The sequence below is a fragment of the Homo sapiens genome, chromosome 8 (assembly GCF_000001405.40).
Source record: "Homo sapiens chromosome 8, GRCh38.p14 Primary Assembly".
Taxonomy (NCBI): domain Eukaryota; kingdom Metazoa; phylum Chordata; class Mammalia; order Primates; family Hominidae; genus Homo; species Homo sapiens.
In genome coordinates, this window is record NC_000008.11 from 80,350,905 (window position 1) to 80,374,277 (window position 23,373).

General features: G+C 39.9%; 1 pseudogene, besides 1 other annotated feature; it reads left to right on the forward strand.

The window, feature by feature from the left end:
- Window positions 212–892, forward strand: LOC100216346 (ARF like GTPase 6 interacting protein 6 pseudogene; annotated as a pseudogene).
- Window positions 16,310–16,809: an enhancer, noted in NCBI's record as "H3K4me1 hESC enhancer chr8:81279449-81279948 (GRCh37/hg19 assembly coordinates)". NCBI's record gives its function as "activates a minimal SCP1, AML or CMV promoter by ChIP-STARR-seq in primed H9 embryonic stem cells {active_cell/tissue: H9 hESC(primed)}" and the evidence as "EXISTENCE:reporter gene assay evidence [ECO:0000049][PMID:30033119]".

The window sequence follows — 23,373 nt, forward strand, 5'->3', positions numbered from 1 at the left end:
AGATCTTGGTAAACATGATGAACATGGAGGAATTCAGAAACTATTCTGGCATAGTGAAACATAAGTTTCAGTTTTCTCATCTGAAAAATAGGACTGCAAATATCTGCCTTTTCTGTTAAAGATTTGTTTATGAAGATTGAGTTAGATGATTCAGGTGAGTGCATGTTAGAAATTGTAAATTAAGGGGAAGGAGGTGTGGAGGGAAGTTGTGGCCCTCTTTGTATTTACAGAGTTGCATGCTGAGAATTTGAAAAATGAAAATGATGCAGACACTGGGCTATTATGACTGGTCTAGACTTTGCTTATAATATCCCTAACCGCTGGATTCTCCTGTGGCAGCTTTTCTTGGACAGTGACTTACTTCGATTCTTTTGAACCAGGAATGTGTCCTCCTGCTCCTTGTTCACCTGCCAGGTTCGAGAAACTGACTGGACACTCTTTCCATATGGGCTATAGCATGGCGATTTTTAATGGCATCATAGCTGCTCTTACTGTAGTGTGGTGCCTCATGTAAACCCACAATGGAGCAATATTGTTGGCAAAACTTAGTCATGATTGTTTTGTAATAACAAGAAAGAACATCATTGCCTACTCAGAAGACCAAGAAAACTGCTGTTCATTATATGGTTCAGATATATGTCATCTTCATCATAATTATGGAAGAGCTTCTAAGACAGAATCTAGGCAAGGGGGTATCTGAGTATTAAGTTTTAAACACTTTCCTCAATGTATAAGAGGCTTACTTCATCTTTTTACTTTTGTGTGTAGTTCTTACAAGTTGTAGAAAACATTGTAATGGAAATCAAACTTGAAAACTTGAATCCAGAACAATGCCTGCCTTTCCATGTATGTATTACATTTTTTTTGCTCTGATACACTGATATTTCTTTCTTTCTTTTTCTTTTTTTCTTTTCTTTTTTTTTTTTTTGAGGCAGAGTCTCTCTCTGTTGCCAGGCTGGAGTGCAGTGGCGAGATCTCGGTTCACTGCAACATCCGTCTCCTGGGTTCAAGCGATTCTCCTGCCTCAGCCTCCCGAGTAGCTGGGGCCACAGGCAGCTACCACACCCAGCTAATTTTTGTATTTCTAGTAGAGACAGGGTTTCACCATGTTGGCCAGGATGGTCTTGATCTCTTGGCCTTGTGATCCACCTGCCTCAGCCTCCCAGAGTGCTGGGATTACAAGTGTGAGCCACCGTGCCCGGCCGATATACTGATATTTCCATTTAATTGTGAAAGGTTTCTTATTTACACATCTGGGAAAGCAAATAATGTCTACTACTCTGAAATTTTATAGAAGCTACTTTTGAATCAGAATATTTAGTTTTCAATATTCATATAATTAATAGGAGGTGCATTTATTTATTTTTTATTTATTTTGAGGTGGAGTTTTGTTCTGTTGCCCAGGCTGGAGTGCAATGGCGTGATCTCAGCTCACTGCAACCTCCACCTCCCGGGTTCCAGCAATTCTCCTGCCTCAGCCTCCTGAGTAGCTGGAATTGACAGACATGTGCCATCACACCCAGCCAATTTTTGTATTTTTAGTAGAGATGGGGTTTCACCATGTTGGTCAGGCTGGTCTCAAACTCCTGACATCAGGTGATCTACCTGCCTTGGCCTCCCAAAGTACTGGGATTACAGGCGTGAGCCACCATGCCCGGCCTGTTTAGCTCCCACTTATAAGTGATAACATGTGATATTTGGTTTTCTGTTCCTGAATTAATTTGCCTTGGATTATGGCCTCCAACTGCATCCATGTTGCTGGAAAGGATACGATTTCATCCTTTTTTATGGCTGTGTAGTATTCCATAGGGTATATGTACTACATTTTCTTTATCCATTCTACCATTAATGGGCAACTGGACTGATTCCATGTTTTTGCTATTGTGCATAGCATGGCAATGAGCATATGAATGCGAGTATCTTTTTGGCAGAATGATTTATGTTCCTTTGGGAATATACCCAGTGATGAGATTGCTGGGTTAAATGGTAGTTCAATTTAGAATGTGCATTGAAAACAAATCACTTTATTTAGCTAGTTCTTAATTTCAGGAAGTCATGGAAAATGAAAATGTGTATATTAGCTCACCCACATGTCAATCAAGATTTGCTAAAAAGATCTTACTTTCTTAGATATTTTTAAGTTTTTTAAAGAAAGCTTTTCAGGCCAGGCATGGTGGCTCATGCCTGTAATCCCAGCAATTTGGGAGACCGAGGTGGGACGATTGCTTGAACCCATGAGTTTGAGACCAGCCTGGGCAACACAGGGAGACCCCTTCTCTACAAAAAATTTAAAAAATTATCCAGGTGTGGTGGCGTTTGCCTGTGGTCCCAGCTACTCAGGAGGCTGAGATAGGAGAATTCCTTAAGCCCAGGAGGTTGCAGCTGCAGTGAGCTGTGTTCATACCACTGCATTCCAGCCTAGGCAACAGAGTGAGACCCTGTCTCACACATATATATGTATTTTAATATATATATTTATTAATATTATATATTTACTTATATATTTAAAAATAAAAACTAAAACTTTTTGAAGGTTTTGGACATTTCATTTTTTTTTTTTTTGAGATGAAGTTTCGCTCTTGTTGCCCATGCTGGAGTACAGTGGCACCATCTCGGCTCACTGCAACCTCCCAAAGTTCTGAGGTTACAGGCGTGAGCCACCGTACCCGGCCCATTTCATCTTATTTTGTCCTTATATCCACTTAATAGTATAATCGAACCCCAACTTCAGCAATTTTCAGCAATAGACTGTCTTGTTTCTTCTATTCAAATTATTCTCACCCTCTCTAACCCCCAGGCTATTTTGGAACACATTCCAGACATTTTATCATTTTATTCATAAGTAATTCACTTTTAAAACATGTTTTGAGATAAATGGTAGTAGTTTCAACAATAGCAAATATAGAGGCTGAGACCCCTTGGCACCCTGCACAAGGTTACATAGCTTTTTCGTAAATGAATTTGGACTTGAAACAAGCTTTTTAGACTTTATTAGAAATAGGCAACACTTCTTTAACGTTCATTTAAAAAAATCATGTCTCATGGGTAAATGTTTTGCTAAAAAAAATTACCAAATATGTATTATTTAGGGTTGGTTCTTTAGGATTAGGGAATAAATAAGTTGTAAGAATGAGTCAAAAAACGGACAGGGATCCTGGCTAACACGGTGAAACTCCGTCACTACTAAAAATACAAAAAAAAAATTGGCCAGGCATGGTGGCGGGCCCCTGTAGTCCCAGATACTCGGGAGGCTGAGGCAGGAGAATGGCGTGAACCCAGGAGGCGGGTAGTGAGCTGAGGTTGTGCCACTGCACTCCATCCTGGGCAACAGAGCAAGACTCCGTCTCCAAAAAACAAACAAACAAACAAACAAAACAGCCAGGCAAGGTAGCTCACGCCTGTAATCCCAACACTTTGGGAGGCCGAGGCGGGCAGATCACCTGAGGTCAGGAGTTCGAGACCAGCCTGACCAACATGGAGAAACCCCATCTCTACTAAAAATACAAAATTAGCCAGGCATGGTGGCGCATGGCTGTAATCCCAGCTACTTGGGAGGCTGAGGCAGAAGAATTGCTTGAACCCAGGAGGCAGAGGTTGTGGTGAGCCAAGATCGTGCCATTGCACTCCAGCCTGTGCAACAAGAGTGAAACTCTGTCTCAAATAAATAAATAAAGAAATAAAGAATGAGCCAAAAAAACTAAAATAACTAGAGGGGCTTGATTATCTTGTCCAACCCCTTCATTGCAAAGATGAGGAAATTGAGGTCTACAGAGAATAAGAGACTCTTTTTTTTTTTTTGAAAGGGAGTCTCACTCTGTTGCCCAGGCTGGAGTGTAGTGGTGTGATCTCAGCTCACTGCAACCTCTGCCTCCAGGGTTCAAGCGAGTCTCCTGCCTCAGCACCTACTAATAGCTGGGATTACAGGTGCATGCCACCATGCCCAGCTAATTTTTGTATTTTTCGTAGAGATGGGTTTTCACCACGTTGGCCAGGCTGGTCTCAAACTCCTGACCTCAGATGATCCGCCCACCTTGGCCTCCCAAAGTGCTGGGATTACAGGCATGAGCCACTGCTCCCAGCCTTTTTTTTTTTTTGCGTAGAAAAACCTGTATTTACAGTCTGGAATTTCATGAAGAGAATTAGTTGACATTTTGCAGAGATGAGGCAAAAGATTCCAATGGGTAAAATAATTAAGAACTTGTTTTAAAAGGGTTGAGAATTTAAATGAGTTCTATAAAGATGTATTTAATTTTATTTATTTTTTTGAGACAGGGTCTCATTGTGTCACCCAGGCTGGGGTGCAGTGGTGCGAACATGGCTCACTGCAGCCTTGTTCTCCTGGGCTCAAGCGATCTTCCCACCTCAGCCTCTTGAGTAGTTGAGAGTACAGGCACGTGCCACTACACCAGGCTATTTATTTTTTATTTTTTTGTAGAGACAGGGTTTTGCCATGTTGCCCAGGCTGGTCTTCAACTCCTGGGCTCAAGCAATCCACCCCAAACTGTTGGGATTACAGGTGTGCGCCACTGGGCCTGGACGTTTTATTTTCTACTTTCCCAGTATTCTATGACAGTGTTACTAATATTGATGATATTAAAGGTGAGAAAGTGATGACAACGTCTAAGTGTCCAGATTGGTTAAACTCATTTTGGAGCCAGTAGAATAGAATGATGGTCTCCATGGAGCAATGATTCTGGGCTGAAACAGACATGACAAAATATAATTATACATAGAACACATAAGATACAAAAGAAAAGTTCATATTAGGGAAAAACAAACCCAATAGTGTTTAATTCAATAGTTTCCTTTAAAACTCAGTTGAAAGAGAGAGAGAAAGAGAGAGAGAGAAAATTGTGTGTGTGTGTGTGTGTGTGTGTGTGCGCGCGCGCGTGCATATGTGTGGTTGTCTAGCCATTAGCAGTAGCAAGCAAATTAGCATAAATTACAGTTGTAGAACTCAAGGTCACATAGGCTAGTGTCACTCATGGATATAATAGTCAACAAAGGTCATGGTGTCAGCACAAGCAACTCTGATGGGGTACCAAAGAAAGCTTCCAGGCAGTAGTTACTATGCCAGTGTTCTCCTGAACACTGGGGTCTTTTAGATTCCATATCAGCTCAGAGTTACTATATTGGTTCTATTTTCTTTTCCCAGGTAGAAATATAGGCATGAAAGACCTTGATTGCTTAGACTGTTGGGCCAAACTCCCACAGATCCTGATTTTTAAATATTATTTATTTATTTTATTTTAAAAATTTAAAAGGTTTTTGTGGGTACATAGTAAGGGTATATATTCATGAGGTACATGAGATGTTTTGATACAGGCATGCAATGTGAAATAAGCACATCTTGGAGAATAGGGTATCCATCCCCTCAAGCATTTATCCTTTGAGTTAAATAGCGTGGAGCCTAGTCAGTGGTATGTTTTTACATGTTCCTCAAGTGATTCGAAGTTGTGGCTAGGGTTGAGAATTGCCGACTTAGATGAAGAGAAGCTCTCCCTGACTGGAGCTCTTCTCAGGCATGAGGAATTGTCTTCCTGTACTAGGAGTTACCCACATCACTACCCATGGTGCTGACAGAGGTGCCATGCTCTCTAGGAGGATGAAGAGTCATTTGAGATACAGACTAAGATGGTATCCATATCCTCTCCTGAAATTGACTCCCTTAGTGAGTAGCTAGAGTTCAACAGCGGAACTCCTTATGTAATCAGAGCTCTTACCGTTAGGGACCTGGACATCCTCTGAAGTCAGAGCAAGAAATTATTTTTAGGTGAAGTTTTTGGGTTTTTTGGTTTTTTTGTTTTGAGACAGAGTTTCATTCTGTTGCCCAGGCTGGAGTGCAGTGGCACGATCTCAGGTCACTGCAACCTCCACCTCCCAGGTTCGAGCAATTCTCCTGCCTCAGCCTCCCAAGTAGCTGGAATTACAGACGCCAGCACCATGCTCGGCTAAGTTTTTGTATTTTTAGTAGAGATGAGGTTTCACCATGTTGGTCAGGCTGGTCTCAAACTCCTGACCTCAGGTGATCCATCTGCCTCAGCCTCCCAAAGTGCTGGGATTACAGGCCCGAGCCACCGTGCCTGCCTGGCTGGTTTTTTGTTTTGTTTTGTTTTTTGAGATAGGGCCTCACTCTGTCTCCCAGGCTTGGAGTGCAGTGGCATGATCAAGACTCATTCCAGCCTCGACTTCCCAAGCTCAAGCCATTCTTCCACCTCAGCCTCTGGAGTAGCTAGAATTATAGGCGAGCACCACGATGCCTGGCCACCATGTTGCCCACGTTGGTCTCGAACTCCTGAGCTGAAGTGATCCACCTGCCTTGGCCTCCCAAAGTGCTGGGATTACAGGCATGCACCACTGCCTGGCATCCAACTGTAGCATTATCTTTCCCCTACTTCTAAATAAAAAATGGCTCCAATTACCTCCACTTACCACTTGCAATTGGATCAGTTGCAACCTTATCTCCCAGGCTGTCATGATTCTCTATAATCTAGGAGCACTAACCATTTCTTCAGCTTTGTTTTCCACGTTTTACTCTCAGATGCTCTCAGTCCCATCAGGTGGATTCACTAATCGTTCTCAAAGTGCATCATGACATTTTCCTTGTCCCTCCCTCGTCCCCATGTTCTCATCTTGTCTGGGATGTTCCACCTTCGTCCCTCTGTCAGTTTATTGCCTCCTCCAAGACCTGGATGTAGTCACACCTCCTTCCCAATATGAACCCACATTATTTCAATCCACATTGATTTATGTTTCCTCAGACCTACTACACTAGTCACAATTTGCAATTATTTCTTTATGCCTTGTGTTAGTTTTATTTTTGTTAACTATTCCTCCTCAACTAGATTCCAAGCTTGTTGAGAATGAAATCTGTAGCTTGTTCTTTTCTCATTCACTAGATCGGGCTGAATTTGTATAAATACATCCATAAATAGTTCATGGGATAAAAGATTGAGATTATATGCTGAAAAATTTAGTATTCAAAATCTATTACAGTAGATTTTTCCAATATTTTAAAAGAAATTATGCTTTTCTTTCTCTGCTCACTGAAATAGTTTTCCTATTTATCCAATGTATATAGGTTGCCTCAATAATAAAACTTAGGAAAGATTACAGTTTATAGGTCTAACAGTCAAACTTAAATATTTTACCTATTTTTTTCATATTCATCAATGGCTTTAAAATAGATTCAGGCCAAGTGTGGTGACTGAGTCCTGTAATCCCAGCACTTTGGAAAGCCAAGGCAGGAGGATAGTTTGCCCTCAGGTGTTTCAGACCAGCTTGGGCAACATGGCAAAACTCCGTCTCTACTAGAACAAAAACAAAACCAAAACAAAACAGATTTAGTCAAATTTAATTTATCATAGATATGAGTTTATCACCCTCATGACAATGTCATGAGCTCAAGGGTAAGAAAGTCATACCCTTTTTCTAAGGTCATTTAGCCAATGCCATTTCATCTGTATTCACTTTCAATAGTCATGTTGGAATGTAATATTCAGGAAAAATGAATCTTTAAGAATCTAATTGTATGGCTAATTTTTGTATTTGTAGTAGAAACAGGATTTCACCATGTTGGCCAGGCTGGTCTCGAACTCCTGACCTCAAGTGATCTGCCCACCTTGGCCTCCCAAAGTGCTGGGATTACAGGCATGGGCCACCGTGCCCAGCCTATTACATGTTTTAAGGTCATAAAACTGCTACTTCTGGAATATTTCTTAAACTTGCTTGATTTGTCTAAATTGAGCTAAAGCTGTAAGGTCTGGCTGCTGGGCTCCCTGAAACCTTGCACATATCTTACTGTATGACTGTATTTCGTTTTGAGTCTCTGGATTCTGGGGTTTGGACAGATGACCATAGTGAGGCCTGCAGAAATATGCATGTCCTCAGTGTTTGGACTGCCAGCTGCAAGGCAGAGCCAAACCCAATATGGCCCCATCATCCCTGGCTCAGCTGTGCTACCTGGCCATGCTGGAAGGGGTTTGATCTTCCAGGAATTTGCTTCACAGCTCTTTCCTGTCCCAAGATCTATGCCTGATGTGTAAATTCAGGACCCAAAAGGGCACAAAAAAGCAATAACTACTAAATATAAGGAAAACAACTCTGTATACAGCATGTATAAAGAAAAGCAAGATATATTTGGGGAGATAAAAGTTGTAAAGGCATTAAGATGTGTGTTTGTTGAGAAAAAATAAATTTGTGCATTTAAGAAGTTAAAAAAAAAAAGAATCTAATTGTAAAGAACATGTATAATAGTAATAATTATAAAATTAAATAAATAAAATCATAAGCTGAAACATAGGAAAATACTAGCACAGATAAGAGCCATCGTCCGGTGGCTCACGCCTGTAATGTTAGCACTTTGGGAGGCCGAGGCGGGTGGATCACCTGAGGTCAGGAGTTCGAGACCAGCCTGGCCAACATGTCGGAACCCCATCTCTACTAAAAATACAAAAAATTAGCCAGTTGTGGTGGCAGGAGCCTGTAATCCCAGCTACTTGGGAGGCTAAGGCAGGAGAATTGCTTGAACCTGGGAGGCAGAGGTTGGAGTGAGCCGAGATAGTGCCATTGCACTCCAGCCAGGGTGATAGAGTGAGACTGTGTCTCAAAAAAAAAAAAAAAGCCATCATCTAGGTACCATTTCCTCCTGGAAGACAGACATACAATATTTACTTATTTGAAGAATGATTCTCCACTTGAATAAGTATTGTTGTTTGCTGGTTATAAAACTAATAAATGTTCACAGAAAAAATTAAGAAAATACCAAGCTCCACATCATGAGCGAAATTGTGTCCTCCTTCAAATTTGTTAGTTAGTTGAAGTCCTAAACCCAGGACCTCAGAATGTGACTGTCTTGGAGATAAGGTCTTCAAAGAGATGATTAAATTAAAATGAGGTCACATGGGGGGGACCCTAATCCAATCTGAATGGTGTCCTTACAACAGGAGGGGATTAGGACACAGATAACACACAGAAAGAGGGATGACCTTGTGAGAACACAGAGGGAGAATCGGCAAGCCAAGGAGAAAGGACTTTGAAAAATCCAAATCTGCTGATGTCTTAATCTTGGATTCCTAGCCTCCAGAATAGTGAGAAATAAATGTATGTTGTTTAAACCACCTAACTAGTCGGTGGTGTTTTGCTAATGAAGCCCTAACAAACTATAGAGTGTATAAGTAGGAAAGCTGTATTGCACGTTTTGTGTGTGTGTGTGTGTGAGACAGAGTCTTGCTCTGTCACCTAGGCTGGAGTGCAGTGGCGTGATCTTGGCTCACTGCAACATCTGCCTCCCGGGTTCAAGTGATTCTCCTGCCTCAGCCTCCTGAGTAGCTGGGACTACAGGCGCCAGCCACCACGCCTGGCTAATTTTTGTATTTTCAGTAGAGACGGGGTTTCACCATGTTGGTCAGGCTGGTCTCAAAATCCTGACCTCATGATCTGCCCACCTCAGCCTCCCAAAGTGTTGGGATTACAGGTGTGAGCCACTGTGCCTGGCCTATTGCCCTTATAATCCCACCTTCAGGATAAAACCAAACTGTTTTAAGAGCTTAATACATACATACATTAACTGCTTTCTAATACAAATAGGTTCATGGTAAACATCAAGTTTGTAAACACTTATCATGGACATTTCCCCATGAAATATGTGCAGATACACAACATCTTTTGTTACGGGCTCATAGTCTTCTAATGGATTGAACCAATCCTTGTCAATAGCCGTAAGTTTGAGTCATAGTCAGTATTCCACTGTCTTTGACTTTTTTGGTAGCCATTTAGGTTGTTTTTGTCTTTGTGCTAAACACTGCACAAAGAACATATTTATTATTGTACCCACATCTGTGTGCAGTTAAGAGATTAAGAAACATGATTTAAGGGCTGGGTGCAGTGGCTCATGCCTGTAGTCCCAGCACTTTGGAAGCCTGAGATGGATGGATGGCTGAGCCCAGGAGCTCGAGACCAGCCTGGGCAACATGGTGAAATCCCATCCCTACAAATAATACAAAAATTAGCCAGGCATGGTGGCACAGGCCTGTAGTCCCAGCAACCTGGGAGGCTGATGTGGGAGGATTACTTGAGCTACAGTGAACCAAGAGATTGTGCCACTGCACTTCAACCTGGGCAACAGAGTGAAAAAATAAAAGATCTAAACATTTTTCTTCTGATTAATATATTCATTGAACAATTGAAAATAATCATAGAAATAAGCAAAAGCTTGGCCAGGCATGGTGGCTCACACCTGTAATCCCAACACTTTTGGGAGGCTGAGGTGGGTGGATCACCTGAGGTCAGGAGTTCGAGACCAGCCTGGCCAACATGGTGAAACCCCGTTTCTACTAAAACTACAAAAAATTAGCCGGGTGTGGTGGCACATGTCTGTAATCCCAGCTACTCAGGAGGCTGAGGCAGGAGAATCGCTTGAACTCGGGAGGTGGAGGTTGCAGTGAGTCAAGATCATGCCATTGCACTCCAGCCTGGGCAACAAGAGTGAAACTCTGTCTCAAAAAAAAAAAAAAAAAGAAAGAAAGAAGAAAGAAAGGAAGGAAGGAGAAAAGAAATAAGCAAAAGCTCAAAGAAAAAAATTGAAATTGCCTATAAGCTCAAAAATCAGATAATCACTTATAATGTGAAGATCTCTATCCTTCCAAACTTCTATCCACATGATTTAAAATCACAACTGTATATTCACCTGTTTCTCGTAGGATCAAATGGACAAAAAATCCCTGGCTCTCATTGTATCCCATGATGCAATTATGAACTCTCATGGGGGAAAAAAAAGTTGGCTGTGGAATATATACCTAGAATTGAATGTCTTAGCAATTGTGAATGTTGCTTTACTTGTCCCTTTAAAACCACTGGAGTTTGACTATTTTTCAACAGTAAAAACACCTGCAATCCTGTAGGCTGAGCCACAAGGGGTTGGTAAAAAGGAGGTTGGGGGTGGCGGACATGGTGGCTCATGCCTATAATCCCAGCACTTTGGAAGGCTGAGGTAGGTGGGTCTCTTGAGCCCAAGAGTTTGAGACCAGCCTGGGTAACATGTCAAAATCCCATTTCTACTAAAAATACAAAAATTAGCTGGGTGTGGTGGCACATGCCTGTGCTCCCAGCTACATGGGAGGCTGAGGTGGGAGGATCACCTGAGCCTGGGAGGTTAAGCCTGGAGTGAACCATGATCACGCCACTGCACTCTGGCCTGTATGACAAAGTGTGACCTTATCTCAAAAAAAAAAAAAAAGAGGTAGCAGGATAAGGCAGCATAGAGATGACTGACCTAGAGATGACTGAGCAGCAGGAGAAACTCATCTGCAAATACCTTTAAAGAAAAGCCCTTTGATAGCCTTTCCCCTTCCTTTTGGAATGAAGTCAGACTTCCATTCAAAGGCCACACAGTGGTCCCCAGCACAGTGGCTCATGCCTGTAGTCCCAGCACTTTGCAAGGCTGAAGCAAAAGGATTGTTGGAGGCCAGGAGTTTGCAACCAGCCTGGACAACATAGTGAGACCTCATCTTTATTATTAAAAAGTAAATAAGGTTAGCTGTGAGAGCTCACATCTGTAATCCTAGCACTTTAGGAGGTTGAAATGGGTGGATTGCTTGAGCCCAGGAGTTTGAGACCAGCCTGGGCAACATGGTGAAACCCTAACTCTACAAAATATAAATAAAATAAAATAAAAATAAAAAAACCATTAATACAACATACAAATCATTAAAAAATTACCTGGGCATGGTGGTGCACACCTGTAGTTTCAGTTACTAGAGAGGCTGAAGTGGGAGGACTGTTTGAGCTGGAGAGGCTAAGGCTGTAGTGAGCTGACATTGCACCACTGCAGTCCAGCCTGGGCAATACAGTGAGACCAACTCTAATAAATACATAATTAAATAAGTATGCACAGCACTTTGAAACAGAGGAAAGAGAGTAAATGATAAGTCATAATTTGGGATAGGTAACCTGATCATAACTCCCTTTCTGTGTATGAAATTTCTAATTTATCAAGACTTTTCATCATCTGTAAGATGAGGAACGTGGGCCAGGTGCAAGCTACAGAATTCTCAGGGTGTTAAGTCTAATTTACCTATTTGAACACTGCTGCCACACAGTGCCTAGCACAAAGCAGGCTCTCCATAAATGTTTGTTGAGTTAAATTAAAAAGGGACAGAAAAAATTGCAAACTAGATTAATTACTTTGTAAAAAATTAAATTGAAGCTCTGTATAGATGACTGAAAAGAGCAAATTCCTCTGTGGTAGGATGTCTGGTAATTATTTTGCTCCTAATTATCCTTAAGTTGATGATTGTGAAAATGTTGAATGGTAATAAAATCTATTATATTATATTTGGCTTCAATTATAATAAAACCAGATTGATGAAATAAATATTAAAGTTTGAGCTCATTCTACGTGAACTGGACAACTGAGTTAAAGTTTAGTAAATTAGGCTGGGCACAGTGGCTCATGCCTGTAGTCCCAGCACTTTGGGAGGCCAAAGCAGGCAGATCACCTGAGGTCTGGAGTTTGAGACCAGCCTGACCAACACAGAGAATTTTAATTGTGTTCTACTAAAAACACAAAATTAGCCGGGCATGGTGGTGCATGACTGTAATCCCAGCTACTTGGGAGGCTGAGGCAGGAGAATCACTTGAACCTTGGAGGCAGAGGTTGCAGTAAGCCAAGATTGTGCCATTGCACTCCAGGCTGGACAACAAGAGAGAAACTCCTCTCACAAAAAAAAAGGAAAAAAAAAGTATAGCAAATTAGGGTAGAATTCATTGTAGACGTTTAAGAAAGACAGAAGGCCCCCGGTGGATAAAAAGGACTGGCCCCCAAGTTTATAATTCATCTCACCCTCCTTGATCATCAAAGCAGAACTAGTAGAAATTCTTCTTCCCTCTTGTGAATTGCCTGCTCTACATGCTGGCCTTTGGTGACTTCTTGTCTTCAAGACTGTTCACTTAACCATGCTTCCTCTTTCTAAATGTATTGGGGGTGGACATAGGACAAACCAGATACTCCATGGAATTTGTTCCAGGTGTCCCTCTCTCCAACTGAAATGGAAGAAAACTGAGGGAATTGGTACTGATTATTATGTGTAAATTCATTGGAGGTTTAACCATATGGACACCCTGGCTGATTAAAATGTAAATGTCCTCTGTAATAAAATTCTCATACTCTTAGATTTTGTCTTTAAAGAGAAAGTGTGAAAAGAGGAAAATTCAAGTAATTGTGGGATCTGAATAAATGTTGCCTCCAAACACTTTAACTCAATTATCTAAAGTTTAAAAGATTTTTTAAAATTTAAATGACATGGAGGATGGTGTCAATGATTTCTCTTCTGCTGCATGCCTGGTTTCAGTCTTACTCAGTATCTCCAGCACCCACAGAATGCTGACCTTAAGAAGATGAATGCCAGTCACTGATATTAGGTCAATGCTGAGTTTAAGACACCACTGCATCTTATTAAGCAATTGCAGGTGTGAGGTAGTCCCAGCTGCACTGAACCTTTGAAAAGACTTGTGGTTATCTGCAAGGGTGTGTGTGTGTGTGTGTGTGTGTGTGTGTATTCACCACAAATAAACATTTGAGATTTGCATCTTTAGAAAATGTGGTTTGTTGTCAAGCATGCCATATCAAACTAATGCAGTTTTCACAAGAATGCTCATAAAATTTATTCATGGAGAAAATCAATCACATTATACCTATCACCATAGAGTATCCTGTCTGCCTATGATAGACTATCTGGAAAATAGAATTGGAATTATACTCAAGTAGACCTCACCTACCAACTAACAATGATATTGTCAGGCCAATTGGTACAATATGGCCTTGCATCGCAGTCTGGCACCACTCACTGAGGCAATTCCTCTAAATTATGTTTACTCAAACTCATACAGAATTCCATTTACTTGCTTCCCATTATAATCCTTTAGGATTTCCAGATTGTCCAGGCAGAGTCATCTGAATCCATGTGCAGAGTGTACAGAGACTTTGAGGCATTCTCATGCTGTTGAGTGCCTATGGGGATTCTTTTTGGACTGCATAATTGGGCTTGCGCCCTAGGAGAACATTTGCAATCAAGGTCATACTCATCCTCTGTGATAGCAAGTGTCTCTCCCACTGGACCCTACTCAACATGAGTTCATGGCTGGGCACGGTGGCTTACGCCTGTAATCTCAGCACTTCGGGAGGCTGAGGGAGGCAGATCACTTGAGGTCAGGAGTTCGAGACCAGCCTGGACAACATGGTGAAACCCCATCTCTACTAAAATACAAAAATTAGCTGGGTATGGTGGTGCATGCCTGTAATCCCAGCTACTGGGGAGGCTGAGGCAGGAGAATTGCTTGAAACCTGGAGGCAGAAGTTGCAGTGATCCTAGATCATGCCACTGCACTCCAGCCTGGGCAACAGAGTGAGACTCTGTCTCAAAAAAAAATCAAAAGAAAAACAAAAAAACATGAGTTCAGGGACTGTAGCTTCAGCCTCTTTGCCTAGTACTTGTATCCATTCAATGAATGTTTGTTGAGTGAAAATCTAAGGGAGTAGACTTTTAGTGTTCTCACCAGAAAACATAAGTGTGTGAGGTTATGCATATGTTATTTAGCTTGGTTTAGTCATTCTGCCATGTATACATATTTCAAAACATCATGTGTACATGATAAATATGTAAACATTTTTGTCAACAAAAATAATTTAAAAATATTTATTGAATAAACAATTATATCCACAAGAAAGAATAATTAGCAAATTTGTTAATATCCATTTATTCTTTTCTTCTCAAGCTTTAATTAATATGTTTTGCTGCTAATAAGGGCATTATTGCTTGAGATGTAGATTATTTTTTCCTAAAAATAAATGAATAAATATTATCCTTCCTTAGAGCTGTAGTTTAATACAGTACCTGACTCATCTTGGGTTCAGTAACTTTTTATTAACATAAATTGACTTAGCCACTTTTTATAAATTTCCAAGATCCATTGAGATAATAATAATTTTATAATCTGAGCACTTTCAAACTAAAATTATACAGGAAAATGATTATTAAGAAATATAATATCTAAAATGCCTTTTATAAAAATTAGTTGGGCTTGGTGGTGCTCGCCTGTAGTCCCAGCTACTCGGGAGGCTGAGGCAGGAGAATGGCTTGAACCGGGAGGTGGAGGTTACAATGAGCTGAGATCGTGCCACTGCACTCCAGCCTGGGTGACAGAGCAAGACTGCTCCTCAAAAAATAAAATTAAATTTAAAATGGCTGGAAAAATCCTTGACAGGTAGTATTTACTAATTCTTTCCCTCACATATATTTTTGAAGAATAATGAAGACTGTAACTCCGAAGCTGGGTAGAAAATATAAAATTAATTTTACTAAAGGGCAAATGGCAAAAAGAAAAGGTGGGTAGATTCTCTTTTGACCCAGTAAAGAGGTTTAACTATCTCATCAAAATGTCAAAATGTTACTCTGCCCTTCTCATATTTCCTGGCATCATAGTGAAATTCAACTAAATTAAGGCAGCCAGATAAAATATACAACACCTACTTAAATTTGAATTTCCAACAAACAATGATTTTTTTTATTATAAGTATGCCCCCATGTAATATTTTGGACCTGCAAGGTTTGGGACATAATTATACTAAAAATTTATTCACTGTTTATTGGAAATTCAAATTTAACTGACTATCCTGTATTTTTAGTTGCTAAATCTGGCAACCCTAATCAAACAGCAATGTGTACCAGCAATTTGAAAAAACAGTAATGATTTGGTGAGCTCTTTTTTTAAAAAAAAAGTTTATTGGCAGTTGACCAATTTCTTTCAAGTTAAAAAAAATTTTAATTTGAGATTTTAGAAGCGAGATAAAGTCTTTAAGCTAATTTTTCCCTTATCCTAAACCTATGGTTAGTTTGCATAATGGCACTGTGATTTCACCTTCCTTTAGAAAATGCTGTAGAATCAAAATATCTATTTTGGCTCTCCATGGTCACCAGAATGTGGCTTGCAAAAAAGGGAACAGTTGTTGGTTCTGGCTAAATGCCAGACATTTGGTGTAGAATTATCAGTTGCTTATTCTACCAGAAGTTTCAGTGGAAGCTTGTAAAGCAGGTTTTCCGTATTGGTGTGGATCAAGTAGCCAGGAGACCATTTACATTGCTGTTTATTTTCATTGCATAGCGAAGAGCCCCAAGCATTCACACTGGAGGAGAAAAGGGCCAAGCTTGATAAGCAGTGTGGGAGGGGATAATAACCGGCTGTGACCTCGCCCGCCGGGCAGCTCTGGTTCACAGTGCAGAGGAGCCGCCAGCCAAGTTTGGATGGAGGTCTTGGCAGAGTCCTGCCAGCAAAGAAAGAAAAACCAGAAGTTGTACTAAATTGGTCCTTTTATGGGCACTTTCTCCCTTCATTATTCACCTCTCTCAAGCAACCATATAAATCATCTTGTGCCTGAATTCTAAAATTCCGGGGAGTTGGTAGGTGAGCAACGGCGGGAGGCCTGGGCCTCTTGCCAGTACAAAACCCGGAGGACATTCCGGGGCTTCAGCCAGCTCCCAAAAGCCCTCTTTCCTTTCTTCTCTGAGCCCTAGGGATTGGCCAGCCTGTTTCCTTTCCACTGATGCCACCTGTTATTTCCAACTGCGTTTATCTCCTCTCCTGCTACAGTGTGGGATGGAAGACAGCTTCAGGACTGCTGGCCCACATTGCTCACACCAACAGCCATTTATTGCCTGCTCACGTGTGTCAGGCACTCTACTATGCGCTTTGTATCATAATATCATTTTACAGAAGAGGAACTAAAGTTCTTGTATGTCGTCAGATAACCTCACAAGATCATAAGTATAAAGATGAGTTTCAAACATATCCAGTTATACTGTCTCAATCCAGTTCCCCAGACAAATGACATCCCTTGTCTAAGTGACATTGCCAGTAAAAACCGTAAAGAATGGGGCTTTTCCTAATGCTGCACCAGGTCTTCTTACAGGAAAATACAAAGACCACAGAGGTGCTAATAGTGGATCTTTGAGGCTTAGTGGGACTTTCTGTCATGAGATGGGGAGAGAGATAAGAGATGATCTGGTGAATAAGTGGTTTTCTTTTTTTCTTTTCTTTTCTTTGTTTTGTTTTGTTTTGTTATGTTTTGTTTTGAGACAGAGTCTTGCTCCGTTGCCCAGGCCGGAGTGCAGTGGCATGATCTCTGCTCACTGCAACCTCTGCCTCCTGGGCTCAAGTGATTCTTCTGCCTCAGCCTCCTGAGTAGCTGGGATTACAGCCATGGACCACCACGGCTGGTTAATTTTTGTATTTTTAGTAGAGATAGGGTTTCACCATGTTGGCGAGGACGGTCTTGAACCCCTCCCTCAAATGATCTGCAAGCTTCAGCCTCCCAAAGTGCTGGGATTACAGGCATGAGCCACCTTGTTCGGCCAATAAGTGGTTTTTAAATTTTGATGTATGCAAGAATCATCCACGGGGTTTGTGAAAACACAAAAGCAAAGATTTTAATTTTTTTTTTTTAGGAACCCATAAAGCTAATAAACATGGATAAATTTCTATTATTAGATAGCCGTAGATTGACTCAGGCTAACTGTATACATTTAAAACACTTGATGGTGTGGTAATAATTTTATCCTGTTAAATTATTTCTAGCGGAAATTATACAAATAAGACCATCAAATAATATAGTATATAGTGTATGTAAATGCCTAAGAATATCCCTATCATTTTGCTACATATAACTCAATCTCTACAAGTCATAGGAGAAAAATAAAAACAGATCATTTGACTTCATAACAAAAATTTTAAAAGTCTGCACGGCATAAAAAAAGACATACACAAAGTCAAAAGATAAATGACAAGGTGGAAAAAATATTCACAGCTTGTATCACGTACAAAGAGCTAATCTCCATAATACGTAAAGATCTTGTCAGAAATCAATAAGACAAATACCCAACAATCAATAAAAATTTTGTGAAAATGTGTTTTCTCTCTCCTTATATAAATATCCACGCAATATTTTCAGTTTTGCCTTTTGGCCTGCAAAGCCTAAAATATTTACTATCTGGTCCTTTACAGGAAAAGTTTGCCAACCCTTATGAGAGTAAGAAGTGGAAGGTAAATTCTGGTTCCTCTAATGGCAGAGCAGCTTGCATTAAGCTAGCCCTACCACAAATAACATTTATAAACTCTCAACAAAATATAAAAGCCAACTATTTGAAGGCACTGGAAAGCAACTAAAAGTGGGCAGACACTGAAAGGAGTTAGACCACTGAAAGACGGAACCATGCTATGTGAGACTCATGTTTATATGGCTTTTTCATTGAGGACACTTCCCAGTCTGCATGACAGCAATTCAAGCAAAAGGTCAGCTTAACTGGCTTGAGGTGTCAGAGTACAGGGTTCAGAGCTGCTAGAGTGGCTGGAAATTATCAATGTTATCTCGGAAATGAGGGAGACACAGAGGAAGGAGGCCCCACCAATCTATGTATAAATACCACTCAAATTCACACTTATATTATGAAAGAATGCTTAAGGAAGCTCTTCAAGCTGGAGAAAAATGGTATCAGAAGGAAATTTGGATCTCAGAAAGAAATTAAGAGCACTAAAAATGGTAATTATGTGAGTGAATAACAAGGTCATTTTTTTCTCTCTCAATTTCTTCAAGACATGATTGTTTAAAGCAAAAATTATAATGCTATTTTGTGTTCATAACATATATAGATTAATAACATATAGAGATGCAAATTAGTGCAAGATGAGCTTGAAAGGTACTATACTGTTTCAAGGAACTTATATTTTACATGAAGTGGTACAATTTTAACTCAACGTAGACTCTAATAAAGTAAGGATGCACCTTGTAATCCAACAACTAAAAAATGAACAGATATAATTAAGCCAATAGAGAAATGAAATACTAAAAATTAACCAATTAACACACAAGAAGACAGAAAAGGAGAAACAGGGAAACAAAATCAAATGGAATAAATAGAAACTAAATGGCAAAACTGTAAACCTAAACTCAACCTTATCAACAATAACGTTTTTGTAAATGGATGGAGTAGTCTAATAACAGAAAGATATATGTAGACTGGATTAAAAACCAAAGACCCAACCATATGCTGCTTATAAAAGATGCACTTTAAAAATATAGATAAGTTGAAAGTAAAAGGATGAAAATAAGTATTCCATCAAACTGTAAGTAGACTGAAAAACAAAAAGTAACACTAGAAATTAAAAAGGTCATCTAAAAATGAAAAAAAGTCAATTTATTAGAAAGACATAACAATAAAATGTATCACCTAATAACACATTTTAACAACAATAATTATGTATCACCTAATAACATACTTTTAGTATACATAAAGGAAGATACAGTTAAACAGTGATAGTTGGAGATTTTACCACCACCCTCTCATAACTGATAGAACAATAAACAAAAATATTAGTAAAGAGGCCAAGTGCAGTGGCTCACGCCTGTAATTCCACCACTTTGGGAGGCTGAGGCAGGAGGATCACTTGCGGCCAGGAGTTCAAGACCAGCCTGGCCAACATGGCGAAACCCCGTCTCTACTAAAAATACAAAAATTAGCTGGGCATGGTGGCCTACGCCTGTAATCCTAGCTACTTGGGAGGCTGAGACTTGAGAATTGCTTGAATCCAGGAGGTGAAGTTTGCAGTGAGCTGATATCGTGCCACTGCACTACTGGCTGGGGGAAAATTAGTAAAGATATAGGAAATCTTAACAATACTATTAATCTTCTTAACAAAATTGACAAGAATAGGCCAGCACACACAATAGCTATAGAATACATTTTTCTCCAAAGGTAGGTAGAGAATGAACCGAAATAGATCATGTGCTGGGCCATGAAAAGTCTTAATTAATTCAAAAAAATTACAATACATTATGATATGTTTTCTAATAAAAAAGTTTAATTAAAAATCAATAACAATGAGAAATCCAGGAGAGTTCCACATATGCAGAAATTAAACAGCATGCTTTTTTTTTTTTTTTTTTTTTTTGAGACAGAGTCTTGCTCTGTTGCCCAGGCTGGAGTGCGGTGGTGTCATCTCGGCTCACTGCAACCTCCACCTCCAGGGCTCAAGTGATTCTCCTGCCTCAGCCTCCCAAGTAGCTGGGACTACAGGCATGTGCCACCACACCCGCCTACTTTTTATATTTTTGTGGAGACAGGGTTTCCCCATGTTGGCCAGGCTTGTCTCGAACTCCTGACCTCAGGTGATCTGCCTACCATGGCGTACAGAAGTGCTAGGATTACAGGCATGAGCCACTGCACCCGGTCACTAACACACTTCCTTTTTGACTCTGTCATGCAGGCTGGAGTGCCATGGTGGATCTTGGCTCACTACCACTTCTGCCTCTCAGGTTCAGGTGATTCTCCTGCCTCAGCCTCCCAAGTAGCTGGGATTACAGGCACCCATCACACACCTAGATAATTTTTGTATTTTTTAGTAGAGACAGGGTTTCACCATGTTGGCCAGGCTGGTCTTGAACTCCTGATCTCTAATGATCTGCCACCTTGGCCTCCCAAAGTGCTGGGATTACAGGCGTGAGTCACAGTGCTTGGCCAAAAAAAAAAAAAAAATTCACAAAGAATATTAGAAACTATTCTGAGTGGAATGATAATAAAAACACAAGATAACAAAGTTGGTGTTATATAGTTAAAGTAGTGTTTAAAACAAAATGTGTAGCTTGAGCCGGGCATGATGGCTCATAGGCTTTTAATCTCAGCACTTTGGGAGGCTGAGGCAGGCGGATCGCTTGAGGTCGGGAGTTTGAGAACAGCCTGGCCAACATGGTGAAACCCTGTCTCTACTAAAAATACAAAAAAATTAGCCAGGCATGGTGGTGAGTGCCTGTAATCCCAGCTACTCCGGGAGCTGAGGCAGGAAAATCACTCAAACCTGGGAGGCAGAGGTTGCACTGAGCCAAGATTGCACCACTGCACTCGGGCCTGGGCGACAATAGGACTCTGCCTTAAAAAAAAAAAAATGTAGCTTGAAATGCTTATATTTGAAGAAAATCTTTAAATCATAGATCTAAGATTCCACCTTAAGAAACAAGGAAAACAAAAGAAAGATAGGTAGAAAAAAAGGAAATAATACAAAAGCAGAAACCAAAGAAATAGTAAGCAAAAATTTTAAAAATTAAAAAAACCCAAAAGTTGGTTCCCTGAAAAAAATTAATAAAATTCATAAATACCTGGAAAGATCAAGCAAGAAAAAAGAGAAAACACAAATTGCCAATATCAGATATACACGAAGAAATATCACTGCAGTTCCAATAAATCAACAGTTTAGATGAAAGGACACATTCATTGAAAAACACAATTTAGGAAGTCTGACACAGGAGAAATGAAAAAAATAAGAATACCTCTATATTTGGAAGGGTGCAGTGGCTCACGCCTGTAATCCCAGCACTTTGGGAGGCCAAGGCGGGCAGATCGCAAGGTCAGGAGATGGAGACCATCCTGGCTAATGCGGTGAAACCCTGTCTCTACTAAAAATACAAAAAATTAGCCGGGCGTGGTGGCGGGCAGCTGTAGTCCCAGCTACTCGGGATGCTGAGGCAGGAGGATGGCGTGAACCCAGGAGGTGGAGCTGCAGTGAGCCGAGATCGCGCCACTGCACTCCAGCCTGGGCAACAGAGCAAGACTCCATCTCAAAAAAATAATAATAATAAAATAAAAAATATATATATTTATCAAAGAAATGTAATTTATTATTAAAAACCTCCCCACATGAATTTCATTGCAATAAAAATTTAAAGAAGCAAAACAAACTCAAGGCCCCAGTGGCTTCTGGTTAATTTTATCAATCATTTTGGGAAAAATTATCTCAGTTCACACAAACTCTCAGAAAAATAGTGGTTGAGGAATCATTTACCAACTCAATTTATGAGGTCAACATTACTCTGCAAAGCCATGGAATTTACAAGAAAAGAAAGTGACAAACCTATAGTCCCTGTGAACCTGGATGTAAAAATTCTTAACAAAATAGTAGGAAATCTAATCTTGAAATATATAAAAAAAGATAAGACATTATGACCAAGTAGGGCTTGCTACAGAAATTTAAGATTAAAATTGCATTTGAAAGTCAATATAGTCTACTATATTAACAGAATAAGAAAGAAAAACTGGCCAGGCGCGGTGGCTCACACCTGTAATCCCAGCACTTTGGGAGGCCAAGGTGGGCAGCTCAGTTGAGGCCAGGAGTTTCAGACCAGCCTGGCCAACATGGTGAAACTCCGTCTCTACTAAAAATACAAAAATTAGCCAGGCATGGTGGTGTGCACCTGTAATCCCAGCTACTTTGGAGGCTGAGGCAGGAGAATAGCTCGAACCCAGGAGGCGGAGGTTGCAGTGAGCAGAGATCGGGCGACTGTACTCCAGACTGGGCAACTCTGTCTCAACGAAAAAAAAAAAAATAAAAGGAAAAAGCAAAACGATAGAAAATTCAGCATCCATTCAAGGTAAAAATTCTCAGCAAACTACGAACAGAAGGGAATTTTCTTAATCTGATAAAGGACATCCTTAACTCCTATCATATTTAATATTTTTTAAAACTGAATTATTTCCGCCTAAGATTAGGAATAAGACAAGGGCGTTCAGTTTCACCACTTCTATTCAATATTATGTCCTAGCAACTGCAATAATACAAGAAAAAGAAATAAATACATATTGAGAAGAAAGAAATAAAACTCTCTTTATTCATAGATAATATGATCACAAACACAGATTATCCTAAGGAATTTACCAAAAGCCATTCAAACTAAGGAATAATTTTAGGGAATTTACAGGAAATAAGGCCAATATGCAAAAATAAATTGTGTTTCTATACACTAGTTTGGACAACTGGAAATTGAAAATTTTTTAATGTAATTTATAACAACATCAAGTGTATAAAAGCATTAAATTATAAAATGGTATTAAAGTATATTAAATATTTAAAGAGAAATGTAACAAACTATGGACAAGACCTGTATACTGAAAACTACAAAACATTGCTGAGAGATGTTAAAATGAAAAAATAAACTTTGTTTTTGAATTGAATGACTCAATATGGTTAAAAATGTCAATTATCCCCAAACTGATCCACAGAATCTACGTAATCTCAATCATAATCCCAATAGGATTTAGTGTAGAAATTGACAAATTTGCTCGAAAATTTAAGTAGAAATGCAAAAGAAGTAAAGTGACCAAAACAATCTTGAAAATGAAATGCTAAGTTAGAGGACTTGCACAATTGTATTTCAAGATTTAATACAGGGCTACAGTAGTTAAGACAGTGTGATATTGGCATAGGCAAGGATAGATATGCAGATCAATGGAACAGAATGGAGTCTAGAAATAGACCCAAACATACATAGTCAATTGA